Source organism: Homo sapiens, chromosome 5 (genome assembly GCF_000001405.40).
Source record: "Homo sapiens chromosome 5, GRCh38.p14 Primary Assembly".
Taxonomy (NCBI): domain Eukaryota; kingdom Metazoa; phylum Chordata; class Mammalia; order Primates; family Hominidae; genus Homo; species Homo sapiens.
Genome location: NC_000005.10, coordinates 77317627 through 77340794, shown reverse-complemented (window position 1 = coordinate 77340794; position 23168 = coordinate 77317627). Strand labels below are relative to the sequence as shown.

The following is a 23168-nucleotide window of genomic DNA, read 5'->3' as shown; positions in this document are numbered from 1 at the left end:
GATGCCTGGATTCTACTCCACCACTGCCACCAACATGCTGAGTAGCTGTGATGGTTCTCAGTGTTTTCCTCTGTCAATCATGGCCAGGGTGTTGGGTTACATTATCTCCTGTGTCCCTTCCAAAAGTGCTCTATCTAGACTCCACTAAAACAACACACACACACACACACACACACACACACACACACACACACTGTGAGGCTGCCTGGAACAAGGGTAGGACTGGGCAAGGCGGTGGCTTGTAGGGAAAAGATTCTGAACACAAGTCCACATACCAGCAGGAGTCTGGGATGAGTTGGGAGCAGGGAGTGGAAGAGGTGAGAGGATCGTGACCTTGTTACTTGTTGGCACTCATTACTGGGCAATAAAGCAATAGGGACTGGTTATTTTAAGCCTTCACAGCTCAGTTTCCACCCCTGAAACACAATGGCTATCACGCAGAGCCCATATGAGAATAAAGTGCTCTACAAATGTCTGTTAATACTGAGAGATGTGGTGTTCCACAGAATACAGAGTTTTGCCCACCAAAAATTTTGATTCTTTCTAAAATTGAGGATTGCTACTGTCTTAAGATTTGGAGTGAAATAAACATAATGACTTGGATGTAACTTCTAGACTGACTAATGAATCAAACAATAGCTGGTACTGCATTAGTATATATCGATCAGCCCAAACTCCTGCTAAGTAGCTAAATAATTATCTTTATTTTAGATAAAATAGATCTTTTCATGATAAAGAGGTGTAAGAACATCAGAAGAGATAAATAGTCATCATTTAATCTAGATTATCCTAGACGCTCTCCATTTCATAAATTCTTCTATTCAACAGAGTAATTCATCAAAGGCATACAGATATGTGATTTAGTTCTTATATCTTTAAGTTATTTTATATAATAGAATCTTAAAATTAGACTACATCTTCTGTTTGATCACATCAGGTGATCCTTTTTGTTTCTCGGTTAAGTAAATATGGTCACCTGACATGGGACCTAGGCAGAGGTGTCTACCTTTAACATTCACCATCATCCTGCAGTACAGACTGTCCTTGCAGAATGACAGTAATGATACATATTTAGCTGCAGCTGGGGGCGGAATTGTAGGGGAAAGTATTATATAATTAGACTATAATTATTCTAGCATTGTATAATAAAGAGCCTCATTTTCCCAGTCTGCAACAAATGATAGAGTTGCTTGCCTGCCTTGGGGTGCAGGTATATGTGCTAGATGTCCCTGAGTGCCCTAAGGAGCTGGGGAGAGGCCGTGGCATGAGTCACTGCCCCTATCTGCTGGGCCTAGATACAGAATACCTGGGAATATGCACATAAAATCATGCACATGTTCACACACACACCCAAAAGGGCGATAACTTGAATAAGGTTGAGGCAGAACCCACCAAAAAGCAACAGCTGAAACTTGTGCAGAAGGCAAGATAATCTCTGTGCCAGGCAAACCTTCTTTCCTGGGGCCACTACCTTCGTGGGTCAAGTCCATTATCCAATTTGACACTGATTTGTAGTAAGAACTTGAGCCTTTTCATTATGACCTCAACAACGGGTCCAATGCCCCCAACCAGTTCTAGTAAGTGAGGGGTCAGAAGTATAGTACTTACATAATGTACTTAGAAACTTGCAAAGTTCTGAATCTGATAAGACCTTAAAAAGTCTTTGGTGCCCTGGCTCTAAACAGATTTCAGCAGTACAATAACCTGAAGGCTTTTCTTTATGCTATTGTGTTGGCTGGGGATATTTATTTCAAATTTCCAGGCCTGCTTTTGCCCTGCTCATCATGGACAAGGTGCCCCTAACATTCCTGGGACAGCCCCCCAGTGCCCCATGTGCACTGCAGAATCTGTATTAGGGCATCTCCTGGCACCTAACATATGCCATCACATGTAATGTTGCCTAAAAAACCAGAAGCACTTATTTAAAATCAAATAATGGAATTGCCTGTCAATGCAATGAGGTGTTGCGCCGTTCATTTTTTATGGTGGGTAATACACAGTTGAAGAATTAAACCACAGTAAAATCCCCCTCTTTCTAATTCTATTTATTGTGTAAACATCTAAAATAAAAGTACTAAGTCTTTTAACCTTCAATTAAAAACAGTAGAGACCCCCAGGAATAATAACAATTAATCTACATTATTAAAAGGCATAAATTACAGAAGTACAGGCAACATGGGTTTCTAGAAAAATTCTGTGAAGTTCTCTGAAGCTGACATACACATAAAAAGAAACCACAGGATCTAGCTTACTTATACGCTCAAAAAGTCTTTGGCAATATTTCTTACCAAGGGCTGTTAAAAATACCTGAAGTCCCAAAATATCTGATTTCCCACTGGTTTGAGATTCTTTTTTTAATACTTTTCTACCTAAGAAAGTGACTGTTTATCCCCACACTTTATTTCTTAGATCACTCTACCCACCAAAAAGTGACTTCCCTGACCAGGGTGCACCCCAGGGGAACCTGCTTCTCTGGGTTTATGTCGATTCATTTTGCCTCCCTGGGACGGAGGATAATTAAGTTTGAAAAGGATTTTGTCGTCTTTGAATGACAATAAGTAATCAAGATAAGGCATATAATTACTATAATAGGATGCTCTCCTACTTATTTTGTGTTGAGCCTCAAACTATGCATGACTTCTCAGTCAGCCAGAGAGAGAGGCCATGCTACAGAATTTTCTGGCATCACACAGCCTGAAGCTCCTGGGGACTGGGCCCCGCAGTGGCCCACGGGTGGAGAAGAGCCTCCTCCTTTCCCTGCTCTCTGGCTGAGAAGAGAGGAAAACATCAGGGTCCAAAAAGCCTGCCAGAGTGGAGCCTGAGCAAAACCAGGCAGGAGCTAGGACCCTGATATTCCTAAGAGGGCCCAGGAGCAGAACATCCCCCAGCCCAGCATTCTGGCCAGCAGCCAGACACGCAGAGAATCCCATCCCTGGAATTGAGCACCAATGACAAGCCTGCTCTTAAAACACTATATGCTTGTAAAGAGACTTAAAACTGGTTTCTTAAAGCTACTTCATGCATATTGAGGCCACAAACAGACTTAATAAAATTGCTATTGTGGTTACTTAGCCATTTTTATGGTTAGCATGATAAATATCGCCATTAGTTTGCCCCTATGCGTAACAATCCAAGTAAAAATGTATAAATATTGAAAGTAGGAAGTAGAAAATAATTCTCAAGGCTATTCCTAATCTCGATCTAATTGTGCAAAAATTAAGCATTTTCCCAGGTTACAATTTTAAAATTCTGTAAATAGTGGAAAATACTGTCAAAAGAAGAAATGCTTCCAATTTATTTCTTTATATAATGGGCCTTCTGGCTTAGATACTGCTGTTGGCCAGCTGCCATTCATTGCCTGTTTAAAAGCTTCAAAATCCCTGGGATTCAGCTATGAACCCCTGAACATCAGCCTGTTGACAGATAAGATTTTCTAAAGAATTGTTAACCTCATGTTACTGTATCATTTTGCTACATACCGTAATTTGAACTGGGAGCGAACTTCCCCATGTTCTATTTGAATCAGTTCATTATAGCAAGCAATTATGCTGCTATTCTCCATAAATCTCTGAAAAGAAAGCAAAGACAATACATAAGACATATATAATTACTTCTTAGAGAGTCAAATAGAGAAACTTAACAGTTGTTCCTATCCCCAGGTAACTCCGTTATATAAGACAATTAGTAGGTAAGATGAGATGAAACAGCTGTCAAGGTGTTCAAAGTGCTTGTTTAAATGTATGAGAAACAACAGAGCAAGTAATACTGTACACTTCACTTCCTGCATAACAAAGGTAGAATAAACTACATTATGAATGCTCTAGAGCACGGAATGCCTGCCCAGCCATGTAAATGACTGAAACACTTTGCTTCATATTGCACTAATAAAATCATCTAAAACCCAACACTCAGCATGTTCAGTGTGCACCACATTATCAATGATCTCTTTGGAAGGGAGAGCCTACTCTTTACTTCCTTCCTAATTTTCTGAGTGCCTAATGCAGGGGAAAAGTTAAACACAGAATTCTCATATGATCCAGCAATTCCACTCCTAGGTATATACTCAAAAGAACTGAAAACAAGTACTCAAATAAATACTCATACATGTGTGTTCATAGCAGCATCATTCACCATAGCCAAAAGGCAGAAACAGCCCAAATGTCCAACATTTGAACAGATAAACAAATTGTGGTGTATACATACAATGGATTATTACTTGACCATAAAATGGGAATAAAATACTGATACATGCTACAACATGTATGAACCCGAAAAATGTATTAAGTGAAAGAATCCAGACAGAAAAATTCACATATTGTATGATTCCATGTATATGAAATATCTAGAATAGGTCAATTGATTGAGCCAGAATGCAGACTGGTGGTTGTCAGGGCTGTGGGGAGGAGGACTAGGAGTGACCGCTTAATGGGAACACATTTGGGAATGATGAAAATGGCTTTTTGCTTGTTTGTTTTGCAACAGGTTCTCACTCTAACTAGAGAGAGGTGGTGGCTGTACAACACTGTGTATGTGCTAAGTGTCACTGAATTGTTCACTTTAAAATGGCTAATTTTAGTTTCATCTCAATTGAAAAAAAAGGCTTTCATGTATTTATAAATAAACTTAGTGAATGAATGAACAGATAGATAAGCAAATAATAACATAGAAGAAAATGCAGCACACATTGTCATTCATCAAAGAACTACGAAGCACCTATTTATGCTAGGCATGAGCTGCTCAAGTCCCGCGTTTAAAGAGGAGTAGGCCCTTTTTCACTTAATCCCAAAGTAATTTGGTTTACATTTCTTATATATGCTATGTGATTCAGTGTAGGGTATATAGGAAATTGAGCACTTCTCTGACATGATCACATCAATACTTAATGAGAAATAATGAAATCAGAAAAAAAAGCAAGTAAAAAATAGTAAGGGAAGAGATTTAAGGACAATTCTACTTAGGAAAGGGGAAATGTTATGCATTTTAATTGATTAAAAAAACATATCATGCAAACCTTTCTAAGCATATGGCTGGCAAACTATTAAGTAGAAAGATAAGCAGAATTCCAAAGTATTCCAAACTACTAGTCACATACTTTTGCTTCTCCGGTAGCTATATAAGTGGAGGAGGAGAATACTAGGCCCTGCTGAAAGATGTATTTCTTAGATTTCCTTCACCCAAGTTGGCCAGAGAAAAAAATCAATCCCTCTCCTCACTCCTTCCTCTCTCTCTCACACACACACACACACACACACACACACACACCCCACATATACACTGGAGTGGTTGGCTCCACATATCTGGAGTGGTTGGCTTCTCCCTGGCTTTCCCTGGGCCTCTGGTCCTCCACAATTCTTACGTGGAAGCTGGGAAGAGCTAAGGAAGGAGAGGAAGCCATAAACATACACATAAGGGAAATACTTTCTGTTTGATTTACAGAGCAAAGTTAAACATGGTTAGATTCCATTTGAGCTTTTAGATGGATAAAAGCTATATATCAGCCTATAACAGAACTCAGGGAGTTGTTAGCTCATGTTTTGTAAAAACATGAAAAAACCATGATAAAATATGTTTTGAAAATGCTGGAATAACATAGAAAGATATGTATGTATATCACGACACTGTTTTGTAAATAATACACAGTCATTTCTATTTCTGCCTACAAATAAATCTGAAAGGCTGGTGGCATAAATAATTTTAATTTTTAGCTTATCTGTATTTTCTATAACAAACATGGATTAGTTTTTGCAAAAAATGGAAAGAAAATGTTGGGATAAACAAAGTTAGCAGGTTTCTTTACTATGGGACTTCTCAGAGTATTTAAAATGCTAATATGCAATGTTGCAAAAGTGCTCTGTGGATTCTCAGGTGTGAGAGGAGGGGGAAACTGAGTTTTCACTGATTCCCCAAACTTATTTGATCATAGAAGGCTTTTTTCATGGACCATGTATTAATAGCTTTTGGTACAGTGGTGTTCTGTGGAACACTAGCTTGGGAAATCTAACTTTAGTGAACCCAATATAGAGTTTGGAGTTAAACAACATGTATTTGCTTCTGGACTTTGTCATGAGTGTGAGCTCTGGCAAGTTTAGTTGTTTTGAGCCTGTTTCCTCCTCTGCAAAAATGGAGAAAATATCAAATCCCTCATATGTAGAGGAGGATTAAGTAAATCACTGGGAACTGGGCCTGACAATAAATCGTAGCTCCCCACTTCCTACTCCACAAAAGGCCTCTCCACAGAGAACTGTGTCCTACAGTTGTGCCCCCGGCATGCCTAGCACATTGCACAGAGGCAGAACTCCATAAACACTTGTTAAATTGAACAAATATTTTTGCAAATAGAAAAAGAGGCACATAAAGTTGATATAAAAACAGTTGCAACTGTCCTTTGCTAAGATGCTGGTTTCTAAAAGGCTCAGCATGGAATTAGCATCTATATAGTCGGCTGCTTACACATAGCTCCAGAGCCTTCAAGGGGAGTTGTTGTGGGATATGTGATGGCACAATTTGTTCCTAGATCCCCACTCAGGGACCACAGACTGAAGCACCAGCCAATTAGCTAGCAACACAGGGGTGAGTTTCAGCAGATAATCTAATACAATCAAACCAGCTCAGAGATGGGAAACAACTTCATGGAAGGCAAAGATAACTGGCATATTTGAAAAGGTGCTTGGGAAGAGAGTTGTGAAAGACAGGATTTTGCCCAAAAAAGGAGAACCACCACATGAAGATCAGTCTCAGCTGATGGTGTGCCACAGTAATGCCAGGAGAGCTGTTGTAGGTGCAGCGTGCTTCTCCTGGAATGAGCCCAAGCTACTGGGGGCACCCTGACCTAATGGGCAAATGGCCTCTATCAGGGCCAGCACTGAAGAACACCAGGTGGTCCCTGACAGCTACCGCTGTTCATGCCCCTCCCCCAAAGCTTTATTCACTGAGGCTGACTGCAAAACACAGTAACATGTCTGGATAGTGGCAAATGAAGCCTTCCAGAGCCCCATGGACAGGTTGTAAAATGTGTAAGAAGGAAACAATGGAACTTTGGTTAAATTTTCTCAATAGCATTTGCACCCAAAGAGTTCCAGTTGTTTCTCCTAACTGTGAGCAGATGTGCAATCTCAGCCTTCCAGACAAGATGCTATCGCTTCAGATGGCAGCAATTCTAGACCAGTTTGAGGTTGGATCACTGAACTAAAGGTAGAATTCCAAAAGGACACTCAACAGCACGTACATGGGTCCTGATCGATAAAACCCACAGTGTGTCATTGCCATTCTCCAATCATCTCCTAGGTAATGAGGAAAATCTATGTCCTCACACTCCATGAGGTCCCAACTCAAACTTGAAAAGGATGACATTGGAATGGGGTAGAGTCGGGGGGTCAATATTACACAGAAGTTCTATGAAGCCTGTGAATAATTTTAGAGCTATTTCTTAGAAAATGAGTGAGTAAAGAAAATCTGTCTCAACCACATGGCTTCTTTGCTGATTTTTCTTTTGCAACTCTTCATTCCAAAAACTCAGAAGCATTGTCTCATGCATTCTCATTAAGATATAGCACCTAAGAATAGCTTTCAGAACCAAATGCCAACCTTTGTGAGAAGAGATAACAGACAAGAAAAAAGTGTTAGGAGCGTGAAAAATATTGCTAGCTGGAAACATTCATTTCTATCACGCATCGTGAGCCACTAGACTACCTTGAATCTTCTCTATAGCACTTTCTTCCACACTGAAGCATACCAAAGCACAAAACAACTGCATCACAAAGGTAGTTTTTGCTTCTCTGTGGTCTACAACTAACAGGAATATATATATATATTTTTAAGCCAGGAGTAGCAAAGTACCATTACTTAAAGCACACAGAGGATTTTCATAATTCACAAGGCACACGCAGTACCCTATTTTTTAAGAAATACATCACTCCACCTACTTGGGATTCAGATTACTCTTTTTTTTTTTTTTTTTGAGACGGAGTTTTACTCTTCTTGTCCAGGCTGGAGTGCAATGTTGCAATCTTGGCTCACCGCAACCTCCACCTCCTGGGTTCAAGCTATTTTCCTGCCTCAGCCTCCTGAGTAGCTGGGATTATAGGCATGTGCCACCACGCCCAGCTAATTTTGTATTTTTAGTAGGGGCAGGGTTTCTCCACGTTGGTCAGGCTGGTCTCGAACTCCCAACCTCAGGTGATCTGCCTGCCTTGGCCTCCCAAAGTGCTGGGATTACAGGCGTGAGCCACCGTGCCCGGCCGGGATTCAGATTACTCTTACCAAGAGATCTTGAGACACTGGGTATGCCTAGTTACTTAGTTTTTTTGGTAAGTCTCTTTGGAGTAACCAATCTTAATCTTCAAGTTGAATATCAGTGTTATTCATGATGTTTATAGTTTAAGCCAGGAGGTCACAGGATGCTATAGGATTACTTGCGTTTAGATTATCAGCAAAAGCTGTATAAGTAAACCATGGTCCTCTATCCTATTATTCTCCTAAGGGAAACCTTTTACTTTTTACATAGGAGTAATATATATATTTGTTATTTAAAAAAATTAAAATATGAAGTAAGGTCTTCCACAATTTCTCTATAAGGACTTGTTTTCTTTTTAATATTAGGGAATATAGTTCTTTTAAACATTCATGTTTTGATAATCTTTTTCCTCCTCCCTTTCTTCTCTTTCTTCTCTTTTAAGTCCATTCTATCAGTTCCTTTCCATTTGCAGGCACACAGCTTTGCCTCCAATCTAATTTCTACCCTGAGATGCTGGGTGAGCTTGGTTATTTAGTTTGTTAGTGAGTTTCCTTGGAGTAATTCTTAATCTTCAAGTGGAATCTCAGTGTTATTTGTGTAGTTTGTCACTCAAAGAATTTTTCTTTGCTGATGTTAATGGTTTCAACCGGGAGTTTACAGGATGCTACAGTCATCATGGGCCTGTCCCTAGGGTAGAAGCTCTGGCCAGCCCTGATGAACAGAATCTTGGGTGCCAATTTGGTGGATGTATCTATGTATGATCACACACACATTAAATCGAATTGACTGTACTGATTTAAATAAGATTACTTTATTACTTTAGGATGACAGAATTTTAGTCTGATATAATAAGATGTGTTTTTATGTCATTGTATATCTATTGCTAAGATATATGGAAATAACCCAGAGAGCAAAAACGCAAAGAGCTCGACTGGCAGCTGCTCGTTACTTTCCCATGAGAACACAGTTTCTTCCTTTCCCCAACAGTCCTGGGGCTTAATTTCCTTAACAGTTCTCCGTGGCAGCTTTGCTTCCCTGTTATGGGAGAGTTAGGGGTTAAGGTGCCTGCAACTGAGAGAGATGCTGGATATCTTGTACATACCCTGTTGAAGCCTGCGTGGAGAAGAGGAAGGACTGACGCCTCTTCATGGTCATCCGATCTGCAGCAAAGCAGAAAATGTGGTCACTCAGCAGATACAAACCAGGATTCCTCACACTGAAACACGGAGAGAGAGCAATGAGGCCACACAGCGTTAGCTCCAAGAGTGGCTTCCTGACGAGCACGTGCCCACGGGGCACACCTGCCTTCAAGGATACAGACCCCACATCTACCTTCCAGATGCAAAAAGAACAAAAACAGCAGAGAAAGCTCCAGCAGTGTACCTGGAGGTATCACCCTCAGTACACATGAATGGCCCTTTCCAACTCAGCTGCCCTTTGGGGTTGAGCCACATGTATGGGAGCAGTCCCATAAAGGGACATGTTACGTGCACTGTTCATTCGGAGACAATTGTTCCCAAACCATCTGGAAGTATGACTCCCACACCAAAACCGAGCTGGTCCAGCTCTCAACATGAGGAAGACAGCCAGCATTCCAGGCTGCAAGACCCCCAATCCAAATGGGAGAGAAGTATCAGCAGGAACACACAGTTAGAAGGGAAGGAGAGAAAACAAAAATGGATAATTGCTACTCATTTCACAAGAGGGTTTGCTATAGTGAGCTTACTGCTGAGTCTCAGGACTTTAGTTTGAGTACAAGGTGGGATGTGGATTGGCTTGTCATGAAGACATGCCATCACTGGGCTCTCTATCACCAAGATAGAGAAACAGTGTCTGAGACAGCCAGCAAGTAACATGGGGGACATATCCTAAGAACCAGGGAAGAAAAATGGAATAAAAGGGATTGGGTGGAAACGCAGATAGAAAACAGGAACAGAAGTCCCAGTGCTGACTTGTGGCATTACCCACAGCTGATTCCTGCCCTAAGGGAAAAGCTATTTTACCCACTTTCTTTTTCTTCTGGAACTCCAAATTCTATCTTCTCTGACTGTTAGGAAGGCCACAAAAAGGGTTCCAAGGGTATTAATAATGTTTTATTTCTTAAGTGGGTGACATAGACACACACATTCATTTTATTACTACTCTCTCTATATGAACTATTGTATAATTAAACCAGGAAAAATCGGTGACATCATAACAAATAAGCCATAGTCAACCATTATTTGTCAAGGACTAGCAAACCTTTTTGCCATATGAGTCAGAAAAACAAGAGTATTTTGTTCTTGGACCCGTGTAATAGCCAGGCTTGGGAAAAATGCTGTGTGGCCTTGAACATTTCTGGTATTGATGTCCAAGACTCTATGACCTCATTCAGATCTCAGAGTGTCCAGAAGATAAATGTAAAAAAGAGGGCTGAAGGATGCTGATCTTATGTCTCAGTTCCCCTCATTCATTCCCTGTGGAATCTTAATCTCCCACCAGGATGGAGAGGTGTAATGAACCAGTGAGGACAATGTCTCTGCTTTCTCTGGACCACATCCCATGGTGGGTATCAAACAAAGTGAGAAGACATAGCCCCTAGGGAGACACTCAAGGAGTAGCAGGTAAGTAGGAGTCTTCAGTGAGGGTAAGACTTTGCAGCCATGATTTCCTGTTGTATCCACATGGCTTTGGAATGAGGCATTTCAAGTCCCCTGGGCCAGACTTTCCTGGCCTTTGTCGCAGAATTTGTGCCAAATGCCATAATGCAGCCAAATCCAATAGGTCCTAGGTCCTAAATAAGGTCTTATTCTCTGCAAAGCTAAATACAGCCATTAAAAGACTACAACAAATTTTGTTACCTGCCAAGATTTCTACCACTGCAGCTTGCACAGACAACTTTTCTTCCTGCTGGCTCTTTTATTTTAAGTGCTGGCCACTTCAGACGATAAACCCAGCAGAGCAAGCGCTCATCCTACAGTTTCATTGCACCTACAGCGCAATCCCTTTTCTTTGCCTTCCAGCATTGGATAAACTCTACTGTCCTGCCTCTAGCCACATATCAGTCCCAACATCAATTTCACAACCCTTGTCTTGTGGATTTAGTGCCCCTTTGTTCTCATGCTTGAATATGAAAAAAAATGTGTTTCTTCTTAAATGAAAAACAAGCATATCCCCATCTCTTTTCTTCAAAGGAAAAAAAAGAGATAAACTGGAACAATGTTTTCTCCAGACCACCTCCTCCTCAAATTTTCCATTCATTTTTGGCATATAATGAGTAAACTTTCTCCCTGAGGTGTATGACTAGGTGCTAAAGGCAATTACACAAGATACAGAGAAAAACCTAAATATTTCCAGGAACTTGTGAAACAAACAAAACCCCCAAAGCAAGATCAAGATCTAAGGCTGGTGTTCTAGGACCCAAGACACACCCATTGCTTAGATAGCTCAAAAACCAGATTACATCTGACAAATATTTCAGAATGAACAGTACTCCTTCCATCTGGGAATGGGAGGTGCACTTACACTCGCGAAACCACTGCGAGGATCACCGTGTGCTCGGAGGGATTTGTGGCCCGGATCGACCTGCAATGAGAAGGCTCCAAGTCAAACAAGGTGATCTGGGCTTTGTTACATTAAATGAATGTGGAACTTCTTCACACTGAAAATGATACAACATCAAATCTTTCTCTAAAGAAAACGTCTCAAAACACAGAGAAGACAACAAAGAAAGATGCCCTTGTGGATTAGGACAATCTCTTCATTTCGTTAAAAAATTTTTTTTCTCTTAACTCCCAGGCAATTATCCAATAGGTCAGACCTGCCAATTTTCCACTTAAAAAACTGGCAAATTCCACTTAAATTCCATTTTTTAAAATTGAAACTCCACTCTTCAAAACAAAAATAAATTGGCAGTCCTACAATCCTCTTCTTATCAGTATGTACCTGGGGGAGCTCACTGGGTTTGATCTTTTTTCTTTTAAAATAGCAGGTAGTTCAGAAAGTTGAGCTTATGATAAAAATTAAAGCACTTGCTGGCAGCTGGATGTACAAATGCCAGTTAAAGCCAATTAAAGGTGGTACAAAGAGCCACCTCAATTTTTCAGTCCTGCTGTAGTTTGTGCTTAAATACTTTAAACAACTTGATCATCAGCTGGGGCTGAGAAATGTTGCAATATAGTACCTGTCACCATATAATGTTTGTTGTACTAGGACCACCTGGATATAGTTAGTTTATTCCCTAGGAATTAAACAGGACCAAAATAATCAGGACATAGAATTTTGAGGTCCATGAAACTTCTTAGCTGTGCCATGCTACAGCCCAGATTCTGCACTGTTCTGGTCAGGGGGTTGTAAATTGGACAAACTTTTAATAAAGGCCCACACACTTGAATCTAGGTGTGAATCAGCAGCTTGCTTTGACCTATTCTCTTGGTCTGGCCTCTGCTTATTCTGAGATATCTTGGAAGGGAACCATGATCTCCAAGAACAGAATTACTCCTGAGTAATTTGTGAAACAACATGCATTTGTTTTTCTCTCTGGCTGTGGGCATTTCTGCTCCTCTCTACTTTAATGTATTTGAACTACCACTCCCCAAGGGACAGCCAGCTCGTATTGCTTCATCCTCTTCAACTCCAACATTTTATGACCTTTCTCAAAAAATGTACCTTCTCCATGTCCTGTTCCTTGAGCCCTCACACTGTGTGGGGGGAAGGCTCCCGGAAATGATCGGCTGCCATATTCCCAGGAAGTGAAGTTTCCTCTGTTGATAAATGGTATTTGAAAGAGATCTTTTGGAGAAAATGCTATTAACTCACAATGGGGCAGGAGGCATAAGTCAATATCCCTCCAATGCCAGCACAGGCTACTTCCCAGTCAGCCACCCCACAGGGCAGGTCCTGCTAAGGTGAAGCTATACTTATTTTATACTCAGGAGCCTACTGGGTGGATACTCAGTGGAAATACCAGTTAGCACCTAATGAAAAAATACATAGTGTTTTAGAGGCATGTTCTTATCTCTAGGGAAACACTAAGTACTTCTCAACTTCATTCAGTCTTTCCCACCCCAGCAGGCATCATGGACACACTGCTGGGCTATATCCTAAGGCGTGGGTTTTAGGCAAGAGGCTGAAACATGTAATGAGCATAACTGGGCTGGAGCACACACTCTCTTGGTTTCTTTTGGGACTGGCTTCCATCTTTTGGGTTGCTTCCTGCTGCTGTCTCTTTTCTCTCATCTCTCCAAAGGAACCGGTATGGTAAGAGAGACCTAGGCCTCTTCCTGGATGAGAGGACTAAGGAGAAGGTGGGGCTGAGGCTCAAGGACGCATGTTAGGCTAAGGTCCAGTCCTAGCTCAAGGGTGAGGGATCTAGCACCACAGGTGACAACAAAGAATGCACATCTGCCAGGAGCGTGTCACCCACCCATCTCCCCAGGGAATGTGTGCTGGGAGTCAAGCATTTGGAATCTGGCCACCCTCAACAAGACCAATAATGGTCAGGAAACACACTGCCAGATATGTACATCTGACTTCTAAACTGCATAGACCGCTATTGGTTTTCTGTGCAGCTAACACAGAAATATATTTGGTAGGAAATAAAACTCTTATTTATTTATATTCAAAGAAAAATGTAAAGCTTATCTGCTAAACTGGGCCTTTGCCTGAATTAAAAGATTTCTTCCTGTTGGTTTTTTCTTTTTAAGTAAAGCTTATCTTAAGTGATTATATATAGGAACAAAGAAGTGTGATATTTCTACTACAAAACTACATAGGAAAAGTAAGTGAAGGCCAAGAAAAATCAGAAATACTTAGTTTTACAAGACCCAATTCTATTATAAAATCATCAAAAATATTTCCTAATACTAAAAATAGCATCCAGATATTTTATGATATACTATATGTATATTTATATACACTATTAAATAGAAAAATATGTTTATGCAGAAAGATGAGATTATTTGAAGCCATTAAAACATATCTAAAACAGATGCTTAAGAAAAATTCTTCTTTGGGAAACTGAAAATCATCAAAGAATAGCAAGATGATGCCTGCGATAAGAAACTTCTCTTAATCCACTAATTTCTTGTCAGGGTACCAAAGTCTAAAAAGCCATTTTCTCACCTTTTATTTCACTTACTAACATTCAAGAAAATTCCAGCTCCCCATGCAACTGGACTCTGTCTTGGTCTAGCATTTAATTAGTGACCTCTTCCATCTAGCTTCAAAGCATTCCACTTCTGCTAAATGAATCAGTTCATCCAGAGCTAACTCTTATGACTGAGCATTTATTTATGAACAGGCCTGTGTTTCCTCCCCAGAGTGCAAGCATTTCTATAAACAAGCAGGGGGTTTTGGTCCCTGGAAGATTTTCTGTTGCTGCAAAAGTGGCTGCATTCACTCCATGACTGGGAAGCCTGCTATGGGATCTACCCATCTGTGTCAGGCAGGAAAAAATTTATATTTCACACATTTCCGATGTTCATTTTGGGAGAGAATAATGAAGATTAAAATAGCTAGTTTAAATCCAAACCGTATCTGTGTAATGCGAACTGTGTGAATTTTAATGTTTTTTATGAGCAATACACAGGGTGGGGGGAATACCCTGAAGTTATCAGGGGAGCCCAGCTCACACCTCTAAATTTAGTACAACTCAAATGTGGAAAAGTAGAAGAGGAGAGAGAAATCTACAGGAAGGAGCTATAGCTTTCACCACAGACATCTGTATACACTGCTTAAAAACATCAACGCATATTTTAAAAATATTTGAAATAAACTAAAGATATCTATAAATGAAATTCGTTTTAAGATGTAAAGTGAACATTTACTAAGCATATTAAATTAGAGAAGGTACCTGCACACTGCTTCTGCATCGAAGTTCTGAGTTTGTCTATGATCAATTACAATAATTTCATGATGCTTATCAAGAAAGCATTCAAGGGCTGACTCTGGAGTCCGAGCAATATTGCATCTATAACCAGCTCTGTCGCAGGCCCACCAGAAGCCATCGCTCTGACTATCTTCCTTTGCAAAGATCAGCAAAACCTGAAACACAACAAAAAGGGCATCTTGAAATAAATCATCATCCATAGAGACTATTAAAAACAAGCCTAGTGGCCAGGCGCAGTGGCTCATGCCTGTAATCCCAGCTCTTTGGGAGGCTGAGGCAGTGGACTACTTAAGCCCAGGTGTTCAAGACCAGCCAGGGCAACATGGCAAAACTCTGCCTCTACAAAAAATACAAAAAAATTAGCCAGGCACAGTAGCACATGCCTGTGGTCTCCACTACTCAGGAGGCTGAGATGAAAAGATCACTTGAGCCTGGGAGGTAGAAGCTGCAGTGAACCATGATTGCACCACTGCACTCCAGCTGGGCAACAGAGTGAGACCCTGTCTAAAACAAAGCCAAAACAATCCCCCCAAAACAACCAAAAGACCAGGCCTATGGTATACTGGTTAAAAATGGGGCCTCTAGAGGGAAGCTACCAGGGTTCAAATCCCAGCTCCTCCAGTTGGTTACAGTGGTCTTTGAACAAGGTATTTCACCTCTTTGGCCTACAGTTTCTGGGCTCTAAGAGTGAAAGAACAGTGCCACATAAGTTAGTTCTGAGAACTGAATAAGAACAGAGAAGGTGCCCATTCACTCTGGTGGTGATTGTTACTCACTGCAATTACAAGTATTTCTAATTTCCTAATTAGCTTTGTTTTTAAATAAGTAAAATTATTAACGAGATAGTTAACACAGGTTAGATTATGGTTTACATTTACAATACATATATTTGATTCCAGTTGCAAGTGGTATTTGCCTTTAAGTCCCTGGAGGCCACCTCTTTGAACTTAGCACTAAAATACCTATAGACATAAGGAAGTAAGGGAACTCAAAACAACCTCAAAAATGAATTTTAACATCCAATCTTTGCCAGAATCTGGAAAGAATGATCATGAAATGTAAAGCTGATGGAGCTAAGTCGAGGGAAAAGTGCTTCTATTGATGAACTGCCTCATTGAGAAGCAATTCCACCCACAGAAAAGAAGGTAGCAATACTTTACACAGTTTCCCCCTCAACATCCCTTGGGTCCAGGAACACAGATTCTCTGCCAGCCAGAAAGACACAGACTACCCTACCACCACCTGAGCTCATTTATGTATTTATGGTCCATCTCCCTCACTGGAGAAGTAAGCTTCAGGAGAGTGAGGGCTCGGCCTGGCTTGTTCCCTGCTTGTACCCCCCATGCCCAGCACCAGGCTGGCACTTCCTAGATGTTCAGCAAATATCTGAGAAATGAAAAAATAACTACCTGTGGGGTCTTCTGAGAAATGCAAGAGGGCTTTACTATGAATAACATGTAAAACCACCTCCCAGCAATAGATCTAATAAGAAAAACCTATAGTAATCTCAAGATATCGTTAAGGCACTCAATATTCTTCTGCACCCACGTCTGGTTTAAATAATTAACAATAGAAGGGTAGTTTCTCAACATGAAGAGCTTTTGAGTCAATAGTCAATATATTCATCATGGTGAAACACCAAACGTGTTTCACTTAAAATCAGAAACAAGCCAAATTGTCCAATCATTACTATTACATTTGAAAAATACTTTTTTTTGTTGTTTGTTTGTTTTTGAGATGGAGTCTTGCTCTTGTCACCAAGGCTAGAGCACAATGGCACAATCTCGGCTCACTGCAACCTCCACCTCCCAGGTTCAAGTGATTCTCCTGCCTCAGCCTCCCGAGTAGCTGGGATTACAGGCGCCCGCCACCATGCCTGGCTAATTTTTGTATTTTTTTAGTAGAAATGGGGTTTCGCCATGTTGGCCAGGCTGGTCTCGAACTCCTGACCTCATGATCCGCCCACCTCGGCCTCCCAAAGTGCTGGGATCACAAGCATGAGCCACATGCCCAGCTGAAAAATACTTTTATTAATTGAAAATTGGAAGTATATAGAAAAGTAGAAACAATAATATAATGAAACTCACGTACTCCTTACCCGGCTTCAGCAATAACCAACTCCTAGCCAATGTGAGTTCATCTCTATCCCTACCCATTTTCCTAGCTCTTATAATAGATGGTGGCAAATACAGCTATTTTATCTCATCCATATGCATCTGTGAAAGATAAAGATTTTTTAAAAAGAACAAACCACAATATCATTTCATATCTAAACCTCCCCAATAATTCCTTAATATCAATAAATATCTGGATATATTATATATGCCATTTGTTAGGAGCACCCTGGACTGGCTAGGGTCTGAACTTCTTCAGCCCAGGAAGCTCCTAACATTTCCAGCCACAGAGTTCCTTCCAGGAAGAAACAGGAGGTGGCTCTCCCAAGAAAAATGAAGGACACAACCTTGTGGATTTTGATAATGAAAGCCTTCAAATCAAACTGTTAACAAGGAAGCCTGAATGAGAAAAATCAGGTAGAATAAACTGGTTGGTGCAAAAAGTCAATAACCTTTTACTTGGTGTAGCTGTGGTATTAACACAAGAAACTCAATATGCCAAACCTAGAAGTCAAAAAAGGTGAAACATTTCTTGTCTCTCACCTGTCTGGCTGAATTATGGGTTTCTAAACAAGAATCTCAGCAATTTATATTTCCTTGACACCATTATGCCTCAATCTTTGACTAATACAGTAAGAATATAACAATTCTCTTGTTGGGCATTACAACAGCTATCACTAATTTTCAGAAACACTGCTATTAACTGCTTATGGTATGTTGATGAACAAAATAAAGACTCTTTGCATTGTAGTGGTAGAGGCACACACAATAAATAGAATATTAAGTAAGCACATTATACAGAATGGTAATAAATGACAGGTGCTATGTGAAACCCGGCAGAGCAGAGTAAGGGGGTCAGGAGTGGGTGCCGGCAGCAGAAGGAAGTAGGCAGTTAGAATAGGTCCTGCTGAGAAAGTGACGTGTGAGCAAATGCCTGAAGGCAAGAGAAAAGCAAGCCCAGTTTATGTTGGAAGGAAAAGCATTCCAGGCAGAGTTCTATGAGCCCCTGGTGTGTTCTAAGGACTGCAAGGGAGCCTGGGTGACTGAAGGGAGGGTGTGAGGGCAAAAGGGTGGGAGCAGGTCAGGTTCACGGCAGAGGGCTAGACCATGATAAGGCCTTCTAGGACATTTGAAGGTGTTACAAAACTGGATTTCACATGGAAACTCACAAAACTGATTGAAGGTGGACAGCTGTATTAATTGTATATTTTTATTTTCTGTGTTTCTGATGCTTTGACTTCTGGGGCTTTGCTGACCCTGGAAGGACTGCCCTTCTCAGGGTTGCTAATTCCTAGAGATAGCACACAATTCTCCTGTGAGCATGCCCTTCATATGCAAATCAACCAATCCAGAGCCCATTCCCCAACCACCACCACCTTTGGCTCTTACACTCCAGGCCACAATTCCCCAACCCTAATCACCCTAGGGCCAGGTACCAGACAACTAGAACCACCAATATGTCCCAGACCTTTCTGAAATTAATCCGACTAGCCTAGCCTAACCCTGCTCACCCTGCCTCACCCAAGCCTTCCCATGGAAACCACAGTGGAGGCTCTTGCCCGGGATCTCCTCCCGCTCCCTGTGCCTCCTGACTGACTGCGGTGCTTCCCAGTGTGGCCCTGGGTGGCATGCTGTGCCTCCTGCTCTGGGAACTGTAATGATTTTTTCAATGCCAATTGTTCCTAGATCTGTTGGCCTTACCATACCTGAATAATAAAATCTGTATCTGTTGCAAGGCCAACAGATCTTATTATTTAGGTATGGTAAGGCACTCAGGAGAGAATTTCTTTGGCTAATATTTAAATTTTTTCCTATTTATAAAAAATTTAGAAAGACTGCTTTTCAATTATTCAATTCCTAAGCAAAGTGAAAATTTATGGGAATAAAGAATATATACTTCAGAGTAAAACACTATAGTAATCACCTTTTAAAAATATCTGCCTAGCTCTTAAAAATAATACCTTCTCCAGGAAAGAAGTAGATCCAAGTAGCCCAAATTGGACTCTTTGTTCCCATCTCCCAGGCTATAGCTAGGCTAATGATATTCTGTTTCTGGGAATTTGGAATTTGAACAGAGAGACATAAAGGCTAGGAACTGGGACCTGTGGCCCATTAAGAATAGAGATATTGGCTGGGCATGGTGGCTTACGCTTGTAATCCCAGCACTTTGGGAGGCCAAGGTGGGTGGATCACCTGAGGTCGGGAGTTTGAGACCAGCCTGACCAACATGGAGAAACCCTGTCTCTACCAAAAATACAAAATTAGCCAGGCGTGGTGGTGCATGCCTGTAATCCCAGCTACTCAGGAGGCTGAAGCAGGAGAATTGCTTGAACCCGAGAGGCAGAGATGTTGCAGTGAGCTGAGATCGTGCCATTGCACTCCAGCCTGGGCAACAAGAGAGAAACTCCATCTCAAAAAAAAAAAAAAAAAAAAAAAATAGAGATACTGATGGAAGAATGTTAAACTGCTGATGTCAAACGGCTCAGAGATGGCCCATGGACACCCTTCGCAAGCCACCCACCCTTTTCAACTCTTTCTTGGAGTCTGAAAAAAAAAATTGCACTATCCTTCTAATACATTTCTTATTTACTTATGTACTTTTTTGGTATAAGGCAGTTATTACTTGCAACTAAAAAATAAAAACAAAACAAAACTTAAGTAATGCATTCCCTCTTCAGCTTTAATATTCTGTGTATCAGTATTTCTGATTTCTTTGACATGGCCATTTTTTAAGATTTATTGACTATTAACTGAGGTCAATAAATGATTAACTCATATAAATGATTCTGCAAAATATATTTTTGAAAAATCATTACTAATGGTGTTATAACTGAACTTGATCTGTAAAGAGTAACAGCTAACTGACCTTGTGCTTGCTCAAAATAATATCCTCAACATTCGTTCAAAGAATATTTATCGATGACTTGTTATGCAAGATGTTAAGAACTGGGAATAAAAAGATGACAGAAATAGCCATAGGCCAGTCTCTTCCCCTGGGCTCCAGTCAAGGAAGCAGATAATTATAATAAATGCACCAATAAGTGGTGACCACAGATAAACAAAGCATGGACAAGAATCCAAGCACAGGAGAACAAGCAGAAGGAAGTAGTTTTGTCACATCGATCTCACTGTACCCTTGTAAACACAGCAAAAGAGGAGAAGATGCAGAACTGATCTGGGCTGAAGCCTGGAACAACGAGGAAACCTCTTTCTGGAGCAGAGCTCAGCCAACTTGTGTTCTGTCCGTAGTCAGAACATAGCTATCGGCAATCCTCACTTTGCATAGTAGAATCAGACTGTAATAATGACCATGCACGAGGGTTGAAAACTTACGTAGTGGGTACATTTTTCACTTTTCGGGTGATGGGTACACTGAAAGCCAGTACACAATATATGCATGCAAGAAATCTGCATTTTTATATTCTATAAAAATAAAAATGAAAAAATGACCATGTAAAGCTATCTTAATAAATAATGGTAAAAATTATGATTGTTTTGTGACCTTTAAAAATTTGTGTCAACATACTGAAAATTTTCTTATTCTTGGTTATAAATATATAGGGAAATGAAAAAATATAAAGCTAAAATTTATTTAATATACTGTAACTTAAAATATTAGAAACATTGAAAATTAAGATGTTTTATGTATTTAAAAAAATTTATCAAGAGTAGTTTGGACAGTGCTTGCCACCTTCTTCTAGTTGTATAAGTTACGATACGAAGTGAGCATCTTTCCTATGCCTTGGCAAATTGTCATACTCCTAACTTTGGATCAGCTGCTGACATTTTATCCTCTGTGCTTTCAGTATCATGCAATATCCCCAGAGCTCCTTTCATTAATGTGAAGTTTTTTGCTGGCTTCACTTCCTCTATGACATCTTCATCCTTTTTGCCACACCGCTGTCCTCATTTATGTTGATGAACTTGCATTCACTAACTTCTACCAGCTACATGTCTAGAATCTCTCAAAGACAGCAGTGTCGGCATTCCACAGTCAACTATTTCTCCTCTAAGTCCATTTACATTCAATTCAAATTTCACTCACAGCATTATCATTTTGCATCTCTTCATTGCACTTTCATCTTTGTTAGCTCATTCCCTCTTTCAATGATCTATTTTTGCATAATGTCATTTGGGTTTATCACGGAGAGATAGGAGGCAACACAACTACATGCTTTGCTGTCTGTACTTAGGCTGAATAACAGATAGGCAGAAACCAACCAGTCTTTGGCTAAAAAAAGTTATGGTTAAAAAAAGCGATAAGTTACTGATGATGCTGCACATTTGTTATTTACATAGTGATTTGTGGACTGAAGAGCCAGCTGCAAAGTTTATGCTTTATGCATTTATTCACAGTTAAAACACTGATGTAACCGCAATTTGAAACATGTTGTTGGGGGTCTGGTGTTATCTAAGTAAACCATGAAATCTGTGCACATTGGACCTGTACAAAGCAAGAGATACCTGCTTTTCAAAGGTAACTACAAAGACCTCAAAGAAAGCTGAAACATATCTTTTTGAGGATAGCAATAATCTGTCTTTGACAGCTAAATTAGAATGAAACTACTTTATCTGGTGATGGCTAATTATAAAAAAAGATGAAAACAAAAACTAACTTTTCCTCATCTTGAATAAGGCAATATAGGTGTTCATTATTACTAGCGTTATTTCTAAATGAGGGTGTATCTATGTGTCTTCAAATGGATTGTCAATGTCTACCATTAAACATCCAGTTTTTGGAATATTTGGTTTGGCTTTAAGCAAACACCTGGTAATGGAGCTTCTAAAGCAGACCACATATATAGATCACATAAGCTCTGTCTGCATAATACTAAACAAGTGGCCAATTTGATCAGGGGAGTGGTCATTTGAGCTGAAAAAAAATGGTCTGAGAACTTTCCTTAAATGTCCCTAGGAAAGTGATGCTGATTACAGCTATAGTTTAATGGGAGTTTTTTAAGGGGCAGCCACTATACTGAATGCACTAGAAACATACTGTCTCACTCAATAACCCGTTAGAGAAACTCTTTGGAGTTGGGCATTATCCCTATTTTATAGACATGGAAACTGAGGCTTAGATGGTTAAAAAACTTGTCCATAGCTGCACTGCCAGCAAGATGTGAACCGAGGCTGGCCTGACCCCAGGGCCTTTGTAATCACTATGTTAAGTAACTTACTATCTCTCAGCACCATAAATATTTTTACCTATAATATTAGATGAAAATTCTTAACAACTCTATGGTTCTTTGAAACTGGCTGGACGAGGTAGAAGACACAACCTGGTAGCAGCAGTAAGGACAGACAGCAAAAGAAATGCTGACCACAGCAAGTTACTGAGTCTGAACATCTCCATCCCTCAGTCATTTCACTTAATGTGTGAAGGTCAGCTCCCTATGAGGCCATGTGATCTCCACTATATAAAATCCCCAAAATATAATGGTTCCAGAAAACCCATGCCCTACAACATGGAAGAATAAGGTGGTTTTTGTTGTTGTTGTTGTGTTTTTTTTTTTTTTTTTTTTTTGAGATGGAGTCTCACTCTGTTGCCCAGGCTGGAGTGCAATGGTGCGATCTTGGCTCACTGCAACCTCCACCTCCCAGGTTCAAGCAATTCTCTGCCTCAGCCTCCAGAGTAGCTGGGATTACAGATGCCCGCCACCACACCCGACTAATTTTTGTATTTTTAGTAAAGACGGGGTTTCACCATCTTGGCCAGGCTTTGAAAGGAGATGTGTGACCTTGCTAAGAAAAAGCTTAGGTCACAGCTGTGGGGATCCATTTCCATGTCCAGTTGGAAAGCCCAGCATGACGGGAATGGGGACGGGACTCTCTAAGCAGAAACACATACATTCTGCACACTGGGGAAGTAAACGTGTTCCAGGTATGGATGAAGAAAAGGCCACTTGATTTTTCAGACAGTATCATGTTGATTTGAATCTCTGCCTCATAACAC

The 23168-nt window shown here is 40.4% G+C and overlaps 1 protein-coding gene across 27 annotated transcripts in view, besides 1 other annotated feature; it reads right to left on the bottom strand.

The window, feature by feature from the left end:
* Positions 1–23168, bottom strand: part of PDE8B (phosphodiesterase 8B) — a 341542-nt gene that overhangs the window by 87462 nt on the left and 230912 nt on the right. For all 27 annotated transcript variants that reach the window (NM_001414622.1, NM_001414623.1, NM_001349750.3 and 24 more), the window contains 4 exons: positions 15066–15256; positions 11738–11797; positions 9336–9393; positions 3480–3568 (listed from right to left, as the gene is read on the bottom strand). In NM_001414622.1, coding sequence (NP_001401551.1) covers positions 3480–3568; positions 9336–9393; positions 11738–11797; positions 15066–15256 — 398 coding nt within the window. The remainder of the gene's footprint in view (positions 1–3479; positions 3569–9335; positions 9394–11737; positions 11798–15065; positions 15257–23168) is intronic.
* Positions 17836–18531: an enhancer, noted in NCBI's record as "OCT4-NANOG-H3K27ac-H3K4me1 hESC enhancer chr5:76618089-76618784 (GRCh37/hg19 assembly coordinates)". NCBI's record gives its function as "activates a minimal SCP1, AML or CMV promoter by ChIP-STARR-seq in naive and primed H9 embryonic stem cells {active_cell/tissue: H9 hESC(naive and primed)}" and the evidence as "EXISTENCE:reporter gene assay evidence [ECO:0000049][PMID:30033119]".